This window comes from Homo sapiens, chromosome 7 (assembly GCF_000001405.40).
Source record: "Homo sapiens chromosome 7, GRCh38.p14 Primary Assembly".
Taxonomy (NCBI): Eukaryota; Metazoa; Chordata; class Mammalia; order Primates; family Hominidae; genus Homo; species Homo sapiens.
The window spans coordinates 102,869,846-102,886,731 of NC_000007.14; the positions used below are offsets into that span (position 1 = coordinate 102,869,846).

A 16,886-nucleotide genomic window follows, 5' to 3' on the forward strand; every position below is an offset into this window, starting at 1 on the left:
TTTATAGACAGACTCAGAACACTGCAGCAAAGGTGAGTACGAGAAACAGTGCTTGAACTAAGCCAGGGGCAGTGGGGATGGAGAGGAGGCAGATGGGCAGTTATAAGAGATGATTAGACTCTATCAATGACTATTAAAGTTCTCACATTGGCTTCTTTCTATTCTAGTATAGTATTTAGTAGTAGATTTTTTGGCTAGAAATACCTGAAACTAGATAGCCTTATAACACATACAATTAAAACTAACATGGAAACGGCATGCCAATATTCAATTAGAGTTCTTCTTTTTGCAATTCAATTTGAAAATAATCTGTATGCTATCAGTAATTTAAGACCCATTATTACTGTGATAATAGTAATAGGTAACACTGCTCTAGGGAACTATGCTGTAATGTGGCAGAGATAATATACAGCACATTAGGAACTCAACAACACTTATTTTTTAAAAATCTAGAGACATTAACCATCACCATATGATTTATGTTTTCTTAAAGAAAGAATGAATCCATAATACAAACCCATTGATATTGCCTTGAAATGATCTAGATTGAGAAGTGTGATTTTCTGATAATTATGGACAACATGATCAATATTTATAATAGAAAAAATAATGTCATAAATATAAAAATTGGCACTATTAACTTATGTCAAGATGCTTTTTTGTCATTATCATCAGTGATTACTTGCTCAGCATCTGCCCCTACCCAGGCACATGAAGAACGGAAGGAGTCGCAGACCCAGGCAGGAGGTGTAACATACAGAAAGGTCCTGAGGTAGGAAGGGATTTGGCTTGTTTGCAGAGCTAAGTGAAAGCAGTGTGGCTGAGGGAAAGGAAATGAGCAGAGCAGGGGCATGAGGTGGTCCTGGAGTGGTAGACAGGGGTTTCTTTAATTAACAGTAAATGTTCTTTCAAATTTTGGTCATAGCTGGGTGTAGTGGCACTTGCCTATAGTCCCAGCTACTCAGGAGGCTGAAGCAGGAGTATTGCTTCAGCCCAGGAGGTCGAGGCTGCAGTAAGTTTTGATGGTGCCACTGCATTCTAGCTTGGGGGACAGAGTGAGACCCTTTCTCTAAAAAAATTTTTCTTTCTTTAATTCTCATCTTTCTGTGATTTAATTTCTCAGTTTTATTAGACACTGTTGTTATTCCCATTACACTCCACACTTGACTACATCACCTGGTTCTCTTACAATCTTTTTGACCTTCTTTCTTTAGTCTCCTTCATGGATTCATCTTCTTCTTTCCACTCCTTAAACACTGATGTTCTGCTATGTTCTTCCTGGGAGTACATTTCTCCTCATGCCCCTATGCCCTCCTTGAGGATCTTGGCCACATTCACACCTCCATGAGAATGACTCCCCCATCTGCAGGTCCGGTAATCATTTCTCTCCCAATCCTTTGGCCTGAATATCCCACAGATTCTAACTCAATCTGATAAAACGAAAACCATCTTTCTCTCAAAACCTGTTATTTCTCCTATATTACCTATCTTTTTAGAGGTGGGACCTCCATCCTCCCAAAGCCAGATTTTAAAAAAAAAATTTTAATTTTTTTTTTTTAAGACAGGGTCTCACTTTGTCACCCAGGCTGGAGTGCAGTGGTACAATCTCGGCTCACTGCAGGCTTGACCTCCCGGGCTCAAGTGATCCTCCCACCTCAGCCCCCCAGGTAGCTGGGACTACATGCGCATGCCACCATGCCTGGCTAAATTTTTTTTTTCTGTATTTTTGTAGAGATGGGGTTGTGTCACGTTGGCCAAGCTGCTCTTGAACTCCTGAGCTCAAGTGATCTGCCCACCTCAGCCTCCCAAAATGCTAGGATTACAGGCGTAAGCCACCACACCTGGCCAATTTTTAATTTTTTTATTCCAAAGCCAGAACTTTTAAGTCAATTCTTATCCTCCCATCCCTCCACCGAGGTCCCCATTTTCCACAATAATCAATCACCAAGTTCTTTCGGTTTTAGCTACTAAACATTCTTTAATATGTCCTTTCCATGCTTGTTCTAGCCTCTGACCTAGTTCAAGAACTCCTCATCTCTTCCTTTAACTACTAAAATACCTCCTATTTCCCTCCCTGCCCCCAGTCCTTCTCCTTTTCAGTCTGTCCCCCAGAGAACAACTCAAATAATCTACCTAAAATGGAAGGCTGACTATGACTATGACTCCCCTACACATCACCCATTGGTTCAAGTCCAATCTCCTTGACACAGTATGACATTCCCTCCATGATATCTTTTTTATATAGTGTATTCTAGCAGGACTAAGCTACATCAAGTTCCTTGAACAAGGATACATTCACATGCTTCTGTGTTGGGCAGGCTGAATTAAGAGATCCTTTCCTCTCCTCACCTCTATCACTATGCCTGCCCCATCACATCTAAATTCCCCACACCCACCCTTCCAAATTGGGCTGCAGAAAATAGGTCTTACTCACATTTGTTAATCCTAGAGCCTAGCATTTTTTTCCTTCATTCAATGAGCAATTAATCTAGTGCCTACTACTTCCCAGGGTTCTGGGAAAACAACGTTTCAGTCTTCATGGATCTGATATTCTAGTGAGGGGACTCCAGGACCTACATAACAGGCGCTCAAGATCTTGTACTCATAATAAAAAATTCTGAAAATCAAGCAAATGAAAGAGTCTTTTTAAACCACTGTCTAAGCACACTGTCTGGGACACTGCCGTGACTCACTTTTCCTTTAAACAACAAATATGGCGGTGACTAAGGCAACTTAAGTAACAGACTGAACTGCCCTCACCATGGATCCTGTGGTCTTTAGCAAATGATAATCCAATTAACTAGCAGGAAATATTTTCCCACATACATGGAGATATAACCTCACATTCAAATAATCCTCTGGAGCAGGAAGGGAATGAATAATAGCCCATTTAAGTGAACATTTTGAAAAGCTGTAGAAGATTAAAGATTTCTAAAGATACCTTAAGATATTATCACATTAGTAAGCTATTTCTCCCACTTAGAAACCCTATCCTGTTTATATTAGAAGAGGCAAATTGACATATTTCCTCTTTCCCTAATATGTACTTGGTAGGTAACTTCCTAAACAACTTTTATTCATGGATGATACAATAAATGATTCACTATTTTCCACAAAAGGAATAACTGAGGAGAGTAAGATTATTATAAGAAACACAAATCTTGAAATAACTGTGTTCTCCTCTTTGCTTCCCCCATTTAAGTTAGCTCTCTCCAATAAACATCTTTCTGGATTTCTAAATGTCTGGATTTTTGCCTTTGCTGATCAACTTCTTCATGAGTTTTCATGATTTTTCAGAACACAGTGTCCCTTTAGCCTCTCCAACCCCAAAGAGCTCTTCTACTTTTGAGGTGTGAATTTCAATTAGTTTCCTGAGCAACATCTCTATAAAGCTGTCTTGCAAGTGAATCAAACTAAACATGTTCGTTTTCCCAACCTGCAGCAAACCTGCTCCCTGACTGTGTAAGGGACACAGCTCAGGAAGGCACACCATCCTTTATGCAGATGCTCAAGCCAAAAATCTGGTGCCATCCTTGATTCACTCCCTCTCTTCCTTATCCTCACATTCAGTTGAGCTCTATCTCATTGTTTCTTCTTCCTCAGTGTCTCCCAACTGTGCTGACTTTGCTACATGCTTACTGCCCTCTCCCTAACACAGGCGTTCATAACTTTTCACCTGGATGACTACTTGATAATTGGTCACTATGCATCTGTGATTCCCATATCTGTCTAGCAGATAGAAGTGAGCTTTTCGGAATATAAATCTGACCATGTTACTGTTCTAACTGACAATACTGAATGTCCTTCCACGGTCCAAAGAGCAGAGTTCAAATTCCTTAATGTGGCCTCTGGGCCCTCAGTGACCTGACCCCTGTCTACCTCTCAAACATCATCTCTCACCATACTTCTCGCCAATAAGCCATACCCAAATGTGTAGGTTTCTTGATATCTCACACTTTTAAACCTCCATGCCTTTGTGCAGGCTGCTTCTTTGGCTCACAGAACACCTTTCTTCTCTGGGAAAAGAATCTCTGAGCTAGGTTAGCTTTCCCCTCTCTGTTTTTCACACTCATCATACTTTGTAACCACTTGCCCTACTCCTGTCTTCCCACTAGAATGTAAGTACTAGGAAGAGGAATCATGTCTGTTTTGTTCATTCCAGTATTCTCAGCACTGAGCACAATGTAGTCAGAGTAAATACTTGTTAACTAAATGTGTAGTGTGATTCTAACTGAAAATTCACCATTAAGAATTGAGAATGAACATAATTATTAGAAAACATGGGAAATTTTCTCCCAAATGGCACAACTGGTCACATTTGATCTTTGGTGGGTATCTGTAACATTCCAGAGTTTAAATCCTGAATGTTACGTCTGTAGTCAAATTTGCACTTACTCAGACCTATAATCAATCAGGCTGGTGTTTAGCTGCCCAAGTTGACATCCGGGCTGACTCATTTTAACTTCACTGTTTGAGGTTAGCTTCCTCAGCTGTTGTAGCACTGTAATTGTCAATCATTTGCCTTTTAGTTCAGAGTTTAACTGACTTGGAGGAAGAAAACAACAGAAGACTTATTTTTTTCAATCTTTTAGCAGAAAACAATTAGTATACTTCCCCATAGATATCCATTTACAATTCTCTTAAATTACATATATGCTTCAGAAGAAAATAAAAACAGAGACTAGAACTCGAGGCCATACTCCTAAGTTTTTTGTTTTTTGTTTTCTTGAGACAGGATCTTACTCTGTTGCCCAGGTTTCCCAGGCTGGAGTACAGTGGTACAATCACAGCTCACTGCAGCCTCAACCTTCTGGGCTCAAGCCATACTCCCACCTGTCAGCCTCCTGAGTAGCTGGGTCTATAGGTGCACATCACCACACCCGGCTAATTTTTGTATGTTTTGTAGAGATGGGGTTTCATCATGTTACCCAGGCTGGTCTCAAATTCTTGGGCTCAAGTGACCCGCCTGCCTCAGTCTCCCAAAGTGCTGGGATTACAGGCATGAGCCATCGTGCCTGGCCTATATTCCTAAGTTTTTAACTTGTCCTCTGTAGATAAAATTTTAATATACAGTCTTTAAAAATAAAACCTGAGCTTTCCTCAAATGCTAAAAACTAAATAAAGCATTTTAACCTTTACTCCATTCAGTCAACAAATATTCCCCCAGGCACTTCAGCCTTGTGGTAAGTGCTGTGGGGGAATTATATTTTGATGTGTTTTATAATGTGCTTTGATTCTCTACTTCTTGTCACTCTGTGACCCTTCAGACAACAGCTGGCGATTCTGCTCCTATGTGTCAGGAAAAGGTTCTTACAAAAGAACACAGGATAAAAATCCTGGGCCTTTAAGCTTCAAAAGCCCAAGCCCTGAAAGACTTGGGGCATAACATTTTTCAAAACCATGTAATCAGTTGGAACATTTTTTCCACCCCCAGATTAGGAAAAGAATCTATGTCAAAAGGAAAGGAGCAAATATGAGAAAAGGGGAGAGAAGAGGTGGAGGGGAAGAAGATGAGAAGGGAGAGGAGGAAAGGAGAGGACAGGGGAAAAGAGGAGGGGAGGGGAGAGCCAGAGGGAAGCAAATGCTGAGAAATTCATCATATGGGGGGTCTGTTCTAGACCTTCTCACTTTCTATCCAGCTAGAGAGAAAGTTGGAACCCCCGGGTAGGCTTGGGGGCCTAAGTAGATGGGAACCCATTCCACCTTTCCCAGTAGGGTTCATAAAAGCAATAAGACAGAGTGTTCCTGTGCTCGTCATTGTATCAGTTAAGAGTCAACGGGAAAAGCAGAAACAACCCTGAGCATGCAAAACTGAGGAGATTTAATTTTAATGGGGGAATGGCTACATAGGTGGTAGAGAAACTGAGAAGCCAAATGGGACAGTGACAAAATCTAGAGCTTAGCAGCAGTAGGAAGCCACTACTGTCCCTATGCTGGAAGGACAATGGGAAGATATGATGTTATTGAAGCCCAGAGGCCGACTTCATTCAGGGAAGCTGGAACCACAGCAGGCCTGTGGTTCAGAGGGGAGTAGAACACTAAGGAAATGCAGCTGATGATGATGATGCAAAGAAAGGTAGAGGAAAACCCTGGAATGTCCCTTCTACTGGCCCTGTAATCACTCAGAAATGTCTCACAAGCACCAACCCTAACATGGAATCTAGTTGACTTGTGTGAGTCACCCTGTAGCAGAGCAAGGGGAGGGTGAGTCATGAGTTTGAGGGCAAACACATTCATGATGTGGGAGCAAGAAAATGTCTCCAGCAGGTGTCTAGGACTGTGGACCTAAGACAGCCTCACAGGATCTCCATGACCCAGGAAGACCCAGAGGAGCCCAGAGCAAGGCAGACACGACAGGGAAACCTGAAGACTTGAAGGGGCCTTGGAGTTGGAACAAGGAAGAGACATCAGGGATCCACCTGGACGGGAAACTAAACACCAAATGGGCCCTCGTACATCTCAGTGAATTCCAGCTTGGACAGAAGACAACATTGAGAAGACCAGACACTGACCCTGCCATAATGAGTTGACTCCATGGTACTGCTTCCTACCCACAATCTCACATCACTCATGGACGATATGGAAGGGAAGAGGAGGTCATCTAGCAGAAAGGAGGCTGAATCCAAGTTCATTCATAGATAAAGAAAGGAAAGAACCTAGACCAATGAACAGATCTAGTCCTTCATTTAAAAGACCCCACCGAATGTTGACGAAGGATAAACACATAACAGATGTCTGCAATGCAGTGAGAAATAGAAACGGTTCATGTTAAAGGATACACTGGGGCTGGAGATGCAAGCAGAGAAATTCCAGTGCTTGCCTGCAAGGTAGGGCTTCTCAGAGAAGGCCCTCATAGACAGTTGATATTTCAGGGATGAATAGGGATTTAGCAAGCAGATGGAGGAGGGATCCTTACCTCCCTATATCTTCCTATATCCCTCCTATATAGGAAGGATATAGGATATAAGATATTGTCTTCCTATATCCCTCCAAATGCATGATTTTCAAGAGAAGTCCATATATTCCTTGTATAACTATAGCCCATAGTTCTTTCAGAAACATGGCAAATCTCTCAGGGTTATCCTCCTTTTGATTAGTAAATGGGGCAGTCCCAGAGGGATAAGATGGATGTGGCCTGAGTCTCAACCCTGATGAATACAATCAGCAGCTTGCAGGAAATGAATTCCATATCCTTTTGTAGATTTGTTGAGGCCATTTCTAGAGTTTAGTCTTGAACTAAAGACTTAGATCTCAAGGCATTCGGGTAGTCTCATAAAATGTGCAATCCGTAAGAAAAATATAGTTAAGCCATCTAACATATATTATCTCCATACTGACCAAACTTCTGTAATGAAACAAATCTCAAATTATCATGACATACTCTTATCTGTCATGACTTTCCCCAAAATACTGTATTTTGCTATTTTTTAAACAGAGAAACATGACTGTTGATTCAAAGAAACTTTTCTATCACCCTTCTAGAAACAATATCCCTAAACTTAACTTTTATAATAGAATAACAAATAAAACATATTATTGTTCTCTCCATTATTTACAAAATAGCAAATAATTGTATTATAGAAAACAATAAAAGTCATTGTACTGTTTTGAATTTTTTTACCTCATTAGAGATGTCTGTTCCAGAGAGATCTATTGATACCAAGGAAAAGATGTTTACAATATATCCAATTCCTTGGGCAGTCAAATGTTCACAATTTCGTAAACTCAAGTAGTTTAAATTAGGGCAGCTAAAAGAAAGTAGCATGGATTAATTTTAGCTGTCAATCATATTGTCAGTAAGCAATTTCTTCATATAAAAACTATCTTGGGAAAACAAATGGTATTGAAGCAAAGATTTTCCTTTACTCAACATAAAAGTAAGACTAAAAGTAGAAAGTAATTTGACATTACAAAGTTGCATGAAAGGGCAGTAGATTATTATATGACTTTCTTTCTGTAATTTAGTTTCGTATTACAATTTCTAATAAGGAAAAAATATGTCACATATCAAAAACTATCATGTAAGTACCATAGTGAATGACCACTAAAAGTGCAAGTTAAGAACCCTACTTATCCCTTACAAGTTTGCTACAGGAATTGTACAAGACCTCTGACAAGAGGGGAGTCAAGAATAAACCAGCCAGAACACCCCTTGGGAAATGCTGGAGTAAAGATAATCTCCTGGAAAAGGGAGATTAGAGAAAATCTCCTTGAAAAAGTACAGGGAAGCCACCCATATCTAGATATTCATCATTTCAGGAACGACTCCCTCAGATGTAATTTAAATATAATAATATAATTTAAAAATTGGTCCAATCTATGACTTCAATGTCTTTCACATGGTTTCACTGAACATTTAACCAGCTTCTGGGCATCTCTGATGTTCCCCCAAATGTCATGAAATCTTTGCTTTTAGGTGTCTCATGTCTCCTATTATCAAATATACAATACTAATGATATGATGTAAAAGACTGTTTTATCATACCGCTCAGATAGTTTCATAACAGAGGCATCACTTAGCCGCACACAGTTGCTTAAATTTAGCTCTCTTATCCTCATGCTTGCAGGACCATCAAGAAATTGCTTTAGTCCCATATCACCAATTCTGTAGGAAAGAGAGAAAAATTTTACATGTGATTCTATATATAAACATATAGAATAGTATTAAAGTAATAGCTACCATACCCAATATATTTCTAAAATAGCAAGGTAATATCTATATACTGGTATTTTGTCAATATTTTAAAACCAAATTTGATTATATAGATTTTAATGTAATAAAATGTATAAATGAGAGGAATGGGAGAAGTATTAATTAAAATGTTATTTCTGTTCCTTTGTTCATAATTTTTAATAAGACAGATGGCCCTCAAGGTCTTTTTCTCTTGGGTTAAAAAGTGATCAAGTTAAGTAGTCCCTGATACCATTTCCTGCAAAAGAAAAAGATCAAAACTTAGGAGAGTGAGAACCAAGACTAAGAGTCAAACTACTGCCATGATTTTGGAGGAATTTTCACTAAATACAAGGTCAATTTGCTGGATAGGAAACCCAATATGAGCCCTTTGGCTTCTTTCCTTCTGAATCAGAGAAAACCTGATGCTGGAAGAAGACCTTGACCTCAGCCTTCCCAAACTATCCTAATCAGAAACTTCTTCTGTGTGTCAGTGCCATAACCCTACCATGTTGATCTTGCTTTATAAATGGCTGGATGTCTGTTTGGCCCATCAGTTCCCTGTCTTCCATTGGGATCTTCATTTCTAATTCCAATTGAGAACCACCAGATCCTTCTAAGAAGCATTTCAGCAAATAAAGCAGGACAGGAGTTTCCACCATTGCAATCCTAAGAGGCAGTTTCACAACAGCTCTACAGGTGGGCGTACAGATGGGAAGAACACTGGGAGCAAAACATACTGATTGCTGACATCCGTTTACACCCTCCGTTTGTTCAGATTTGCAAAGAACTGAGCAGTTAAGGCAAAAGATATCCTGTTTCAGCTGAATGAGCCATAGTAGGTGGATGCGATGCCTGTGTGCCCATCAACCTTCCACCTATAAGAGGGGGAGTGTGCCAGCACCTAGGAAAGCAGTTAAGGATGTGTGTGTGTGTGTGTGTGTGTGTGTGTGTGTAGAAATTCATATTATAGTCAAGAAAGGATTAAAAGTGAATGGAAAAGATTATTGAGGTAATGATCCAAATTAATTGGTTAATACATTTAGGGCCAAACCTGGATATCAAAAGTATCCATGCTGTTTTTTTGTTTGTTTGTTTGTTTTTTAATACACAAGCTGGGGTTTCATCCCTAAAGATTCAGACTCAATAGCTCTGAAGTGGGGCTTGGGCATCTATAGTTTTTTTTGTATGTTTGTTTGTTTGTTTTTGAGACCAAGTCTCTCTCTGTCGCCCAGGCTGGAGTGCAGTGGCACGATCTCAGCTCACTACAAGCTCTGCCTCCTGGGTTCACACCATTCTCCTGCCTCAGCCTCCCGAGTAGCTAGGACTACAGGCGACTGCCACCATGCCTGGCTAATTCTGTGTATTTTTAGTAGAGACGGGGTTTCACCATGTTAGCCAGGATGGTCTCGATCTCCTGACCTCGTGATCCGCCCACCTGGGCCTCCCAAAGTGCTGGGATTACAGGCGTGAGCCACCACGCCCGACGGGCATCTATAGTTTTATTCAGCTCCTCAGGTGATTCTGACACCTTAGGATTTTTACTTTTAAATTCTTTTAAATATGTATTTTTAATTTATCTTTTTGTTGCTGATTCCCATTGCTTTGTAGAGAGAGAATACCATTTGTTGATAAAAATAGTTTGAAAGTTGCTGGAACTTGCTTTTAAATTTTGTCCATGCATGATTTTTTAAAGGATTGATGTGTGTTTGAGAAAAACAAAAATTCTTTAACTACCCAACTTACTATTTTAGGTTTAACTCTTATATGTACATATTAAAATCTTAAAACTCTGAAATTAAGCTTAATCTTTTTACCCTATATGTTATACTTTTTCATCCTCCCTCTGTTGTCATTTCTTCAGAATGATCTCCCAGCTCTATACTTCTCTCCTCTGTGAGTTCTAATCTGCTGATCAGCATTCCATTGTTTATTTCAATAACTATATTACATCATTTGTTTCTAAAAGTTAGGTTTTTTTCCCAGATAAATCTAATTGTTTTATTATGTTTGGTTGTCTGCTCATATTTCTGATCCCATTTTTTATTTCTTCAAACATTTCATACATGTTTACTTAACAATCCATGTCTGACAATTCCTGTATCTGAATTACCTGAAGGTCAAATGTATCTTGCTGTTTCTGTGACTCTTTCTCATGGTGACTTATATCTTTGTGCATTTTGACAATCTTTGACTTTGAGCACCTATTTATTTGATCTTAATCTCTAGCCTGAGAAGCTTTGTGCTAACTTCTTCCAGGAGCTCAGGAACTACCTACCTGAGACCACTCTGCCCCCTTAAAGAGGTACAAACCCTACAGAAGTCTCAGGTTCTGCCTCCCTACTTTGAGTCTTGCTCAGAGCTGATTCTCTCAAAGGCAATTGTTGTCATAAAATTTGTGCTCAGAGCTGCTCAACCTTTTGTGTTTGCTGGCTATTCACTATTCATCTCAAGGAATTTGTTCATTGAGAGAGTAGAAAAGAATGAGGGGATTCAAGGCTACTGGATATTTCTCTTACTCTTTGTGAGCTCAGCAGTATATTGAAAATATATTTAATCACGGATCTGAATATTTTTGGCAGAGCCCTTTGAAGTGTCTTGTCACCTCTACTTCTGGAGGCAGAAAACTTCCATTTAAGATTAATTAGGCAAGGCGCAGTGGCTCACGCCTGTAATCCCAGCACTTTGGGAGGCCGAGGCAGGTGGGTCACCTGAGGTCAGGAGTTCAAGACCAGCCTGGCCAACATGGTGAGACCCTATCTCTACAAAAATACAAAAATTAGCCAGGGATGATGGTGGGTGCCTGTCTACTTGGGAGGCTGGGGCAGGAGAATCATTTGAACCCAACAGGCAGAGGTTGCAGTGAGCCAAGATTGCACCACTGCACTCCAGCCTGGGTGACAGAGTGAGACTCCATCTCAAAAAAAAAAAAAAAAAAAAAGAATAATTAACCCGCAGAAGCCTGCACGAAATGCAAGAATGAAATTCAGTTTTATTTCACATATTCATACAGATAGAATTAGTTGATACACACTTGTGTATGTAGTGTGTGTGTGTGTGGGGGGGGTGGGTGTCTCACTGTTATCATTACTATGTAACAAATTGATCCAAACTTTGTGGCTTAAATGGCAAACATTTATTATCTCCCAGTTTCTGGACCTCAGGGATTTAGAAGTGAACTAGAGTGGTTCTAGCTCAGGGTCTCTCATGAGTGTGTAGTCAAGATGCCAGCTGGAGCTTCAGTCATCTGAAGGTTTGACTGGGGCTGTAGGGTCTGCTTCCAGGCTCACTCACATGGCTGTTGGCGGGAGGCTTTAATTCTTCACTGGCCCTTGGCTGGAGCCCTCATTTCCTAATCCAGGTTTTTCCCATTCCAAACCCTTATATCTCCTCCAGCTCCCAATGACCCATGCTGCCTCCCCATTTTAATAACAGGCAACATAGGTTGAGATTCTGTGTAGTGGGCCAGTGCAGTGGCTCATGCCTATAATCCCAGCATTTTGGGAGGCCAAGGTGGAAGGATCACCTGAAGCCAGGACTTTGAGACCTGCCTGGGCAATCTAGTGAGACCCCGACTCTAGAAAAATTTAAAAACTAGCTGGATATGATGGAGTGTGCCTTGTAGTTCTAGCTACTTGGGAGGCTGAGGCAGGAGGACCACTTGAGCCCAGGAGTTCAAGGTTACAGTAACTGTGCAACTGTACTTCAGCCTGGGCAATAGAGCAAGACCTTGTCTCTAAAAAATAAAAATAAATAAATAAAAGATTTTGTGTAGCTTAGATTATTATGCTGACTTGTGCTTTCCCAAATATTAGCCAACTTCAATGTGGATCAAGTACTATTTTGTGGATCAAATGCTATTTTGTTATTATCTGGCCCTATAAGATTATAAGAATTCTACATAGGTAAGAGTCTGAGCTACCCACTGGGGAACAGGTTTCAGCAAGAAACCTCTTGATCCTTGGCCGGGTGCAGAGGCTCACACTTGTATTCCCAGCACTTTGGGAGGCTGAGGCAGGTGGATCACTTGAGGTCAGGAATTCAAGAACAGCCTGGCCAAAGTGGTAAAACCCTCTCTCTACTAAAAATACAAAAATTAGTCAGGTGGGCTGGCACACACCTGTAATCTCAGCTACTCAGGAGGCTGAGGCTAGAGAATCACTTGAGCATGGGAGGCAGAGGTTGCAGTGAGCTGAGATCGTGCCACTGCCCTCCAGCCTGGGCAACAGAGCGAGACTCTGTCTCAAAAACAAAACAAAACAAAACAAAACAAAACAAAAAAACAGAATTTGCTCCTGAGAATACCAGGAGAGTAGTCCAATAGTGGCCCAGCTAAAGAAAGGATTTCAGTAAGAACCCACCCTCTGTCCATTTGTCAGAAATTCTTCACAGAGGAAAAATCTATCCAGTACCCAAGAGGAAAACCTTCAATGAGATTGGTTCTTCATAAGCAAGTCAGAAAGTCCATGTGGGAAAAGATCATGTTAACTGAACTAGCTATGGAAACCCTCAATAGGAAAGGTAGCCTGTAAGTATTCCTGTGAGTTTCCTTAATTTTACAAGGGTCCATAATTCCTCACATCCTGAGCTTCCCCTACACCCCATATAATCAACCTGGGTTGGGAGCCCCTCTTTCTTATAACTACAGAACTCTGCACTTACCTCTACTTTAACACATGAACTCTTGACTTTCATGTTTACCCCACAAACCATAAGTTCCTTAGGAGAGAACCTGGCACATACTAGATAATCAACGTTTCTTGAATATATTACTGAATGACTCATTACCTTACACAATTTGCCAAATTCAACACAGTCAGTTGCTTCAAAGGTGAAAGGGATCTGAGGCTGCTGTCTGTTATTCCCTTGCAGTCAGCCATATAAATGTGACTGAGATTTGGATAATTCTTGTCTATAAATTTGAAGGATGCATCAGTAACCCTTTTATTTCCTGTTTTTAAAAAACAGAAGAAAAGACAAGTATTGTATTTAGAATGCCACAAGAGTAAAAGTAAACAATAATGCTGAACCACATTTTTAATATAACAGACCTTCAAATCGGATCTTTCTGAGTTTACAAGCAGAAAGAGCTCTGAAAGTACAATCGGAGATATGCGGTGCACCAGTGAAAACCAGCGATGTAATACGAGAGCATTTTTCAACTAAAGCCTTTAGAAGAAAAAAATGATTAAATTAATCAAGTGTACAGAACAGGTTTAGCAAGGTAATGAAGTCACTTTTTCCTTCAATATATTAGAGACAGACATGTTAACTGTTAATTTTCCTAATTTCAAAGACAACTGGATTTTTCCATACATTTTAATACACCTACATTTGACTAATGTGGAGGAATCAGAATTAAATCACGTACTAAGAGTATGGGAAAATATGAGAAATGGACTACTGAAAAAAATTACTACATTTGGCAGCTTAGCATGGAGAACTAAACTCAAAGTTTGTGCTTAGGCTGTAACATCACTAAAAAAAATCCTAACTGTGAAACAAGGTTTCTTAGGATATTTAAGGATTCACATGTTTTCAAGGGTATGTGCATGTGTGGAAACTTTTCAATGATTTTATTACTATTTTAAAATAACTAAAATGAAAAGTCCATTCATATTTTTCAGTAATTCAAGCCATTAGAACATATATCTATCTTATGGGACAGAAAAGTAAAGGTACTTCCCAACTACCTACTTTTACACAGTTGTCCGTCAGAGTTGGCATGTCATTAATGGTAAGATGCATAATTCCAGTGCAGCTGTTTGCAATGTACCTGAAGCCTTGGACTGAAATCTGAATTGTACAGAGTAGAAAATAATGGGAGAATGCATTAGCATGATAAAAATCCAAGGGAGTAATAACCAAAGATACACCATAATTTTGTTACTATGTTTTAAAATTAACCATAAAATGTGGCAGACACAAGAGGGAAAGAATCTAGTCTTGATTTCTTTTTTTTATTTAATTTTTTATCGAGGTAAAATTTATATAACATAAAATAAGCCATGTAAGCCAGATGCAGCAGTGCATGCCTGTAGTCTCAGCAACTTGGGAGGCTGAGATAGGAGGATCACCTCAGCCAGGAGTTCAAGGCCAGCCTGGGCAACACAGCAAGACCCTGTCTCTTTAAAAAAATTTTTTTAATTAAAAAAAATTAACCACTTACATAAGTTATTTAATCATTCATAATGTTGTGCAACCAGCACCTAAATGTAGTTCCAAAACATTTTCATCACCCAAAAGGAAATCCTGTACCCATTAAGCAATTGCTGCCTATACTCCTTTCCTCCTGGCCCCTGGCATCATTAATCGGTGTCCTGTCTCCATAAATTTACCTATTCTGAATATTTCATATAAATGGAATTATACAATATGTGGCCTTTTGTTCCTGGCTTCTTTCACTTAGTGTAATGTTTTTGAGGTTCATGCACATTGTAGCATGCATGAACACCTCAATCGTTTTTATGACTGAATAATATCCTATTCAATGGAAAAACTACGTTTTAAAAATCCATTAATCTGTTAATGGGTATGTGGATTGTTTCCATCTTTTGGATATTGAATATCTACACGCATGTACATCTATTTGTTTGAATATCAGGTTTCAATTCTTTTGGGTATATATTTAGGAGAAGAATTGCTGGATCATATGGCAATTCTATGCTTAATTTTTAAGAACCACCAAAATGTTTTCTTCAGGTGCTGCACCATTTTACCTACCCACCAGAAATCTATAAGTGTTCCAATTTCTCCACATCACCAACACTTATTTCCCATTAAAACAAATTTCCTTGTGGGCTTGAAGTGGTACTCCATTGTGATTTTCATTTGCATCCCCTTAATGAATAATGATATGAGTATCTTTTCATGTACTTGCTAGCCATTGGTATGTCTTCTTTGGGAAAATGTCTAGTCAAGTTATTTGCCTTTTTTTTTTTAGTTGGGTTGTTTGTCTTTTTGTTGTTGAATTGTAAGAATTCTTCATATATTCTGGATACCAAGTCCTTATTAGATGTACGACTCAAAATTATTTTCCATTCTGTAGGTTGTCTTCTCATTTTTTAAAATCATGTACTTCGATGCATAAACACTTTTAAGTTTGATGAAGTTCAGTTTATCTATTTTTTCTTTTGTTGTTCATGCTTTTGGTGTCATATTTAAGAATGTATTGCCAAATCCAAGGTCATGAAGATTTACCTCCTATTTTTTCTTCAAAAGGGTTTATTATTTTGGCTCTTATATTTAGGTTATTGACCATTTTGTGTTAATTTTTATACATAGTGTGAGGTAGGGGTCCAACTTCACTTTTTTTTCATGTGGATATACAGTTGCCCCAGTGCCAGTTGTTGAAGAAAGTATTCTTTTCCCCATTGAATGGTCTCAGCACCCTTTTCAAAAGACAATTGGCCATAAATGTATAGATTTATTTCTGGACTGTCAATTCTACTCCATTGTTCTATATGTCTATCCTTATGCCAGTGCCATACTGTTTCAATTACTGTAGCTTTGTAGTACCGATTTCTTTCTTTTCAACTATCATTATCCACATTAATGGAAAGACCAGTGGCAGAGAGTGTCCGAAATAATGACTGATTCAAAGATCAAAATATTTGCCTATAATGAATTACCTTAAGATAATTTGTTATTTAGACTGCATTTCCTGTAACAAATGGACACAGATAGGAAATCAGATTGTGTTCAGATTCAGTAAAGGGAAATTGAGATGCTGCCCAGAAGCAGACAGAAGGGGAACTCCCCTGAAGGGTCATCTCCAGAAGAGTATGACAGGGACAATGAGGAGCAGCAGCTACAATGGACCTCTAGGGAGACCTTTGGAGACTTCATTTGCGCCACCTCTCACTAAAGGTGACTTCCAAGGTTCTGTCATCAGAGCCTCCACCTATTCAGAAAAGACTAGCCAAAAGTTAGGGAACTGAGTGTCATAGCCCCAGGACAACCAGAGCTCAACTCAAATGTCACTTCCTTAGGAAGTGTTCCTGACCCTTAGATTAGACCAGTTTCTTGTTATATACTTACATCACCATGTAATTATCATAACTACAATTATATTCATTTTATGATTGATTAGTTATTAAATGAATCCCCTGTATACAGCTCCCAGCATGGTGCCTATAACAACTGATGAGATAATTGAGTAATATTATTACATGAATAAATGGAGGAATGTATGAATGGCTTCTGAGAACCATGT

General features: G+C 39.3%; 1 protein-coding gene across 21 annotated transcripts in view, besides 1 other annotated feature; it reads right to left on the reverse strand.

The window, feature by feature from the left end:
* Positions 1-16,886, reverse strand: part of FBXL13 (F-box and leucine rich repeat protein 13) — a 263,608-nt gene that overhangs the window by 58,657 nt on the left and 188,065 nt on the right. For 17 of the 21 annotated variants that reach the window (NR_105043.2, XM_017011850.3, XM_011515928.4 and 14 more), the window contains 5 exons: positions 14,369-14,467; positions 13,723-13,840; positions 13,460-13,622; positions 8,486-8,605; positions 7,622-7,748 (listed from right to left, as the gene is read on the reverse strand). Coding sequence is in view for 19 of the 21 variants with exons in the window: in XM_017011850.3 (XP_016867339.1) it covers positions 7,622-7,748; positions 8,486-8,605; positions 13,460-13,622; positions 13,723-13,840; positions 14,369-14,467 (627 nt within the window). In the remaining 2 variants the exon portion in view is untranslated. The other 4 variants (XM_005250207.5, XM_047420045.1, XR_927410.4 and 1 more) reach the window with 3 other exon arrangements.
* Positions 5,711-6,910: an enhancer, noted in NCBI's record as "P300/CBP strongly-dependent group 1 enhancer chr7:102516003-102517202 (GRCh37/hg19 assembly coordinates)". NCBI's record gives its function as "activates an origin of replication core promoter dependent on BRD2, BRD4, P300/CBP, MED14 and CDK7 cofactors, with strong dependence on P300/CBP, by STARR-seq in HCT116 cells {active_cell/tissue: HCT116}" and the evidence as "EXISTENCE:reporter gene assay evidence [ECO:0000049][PMID:35650434]".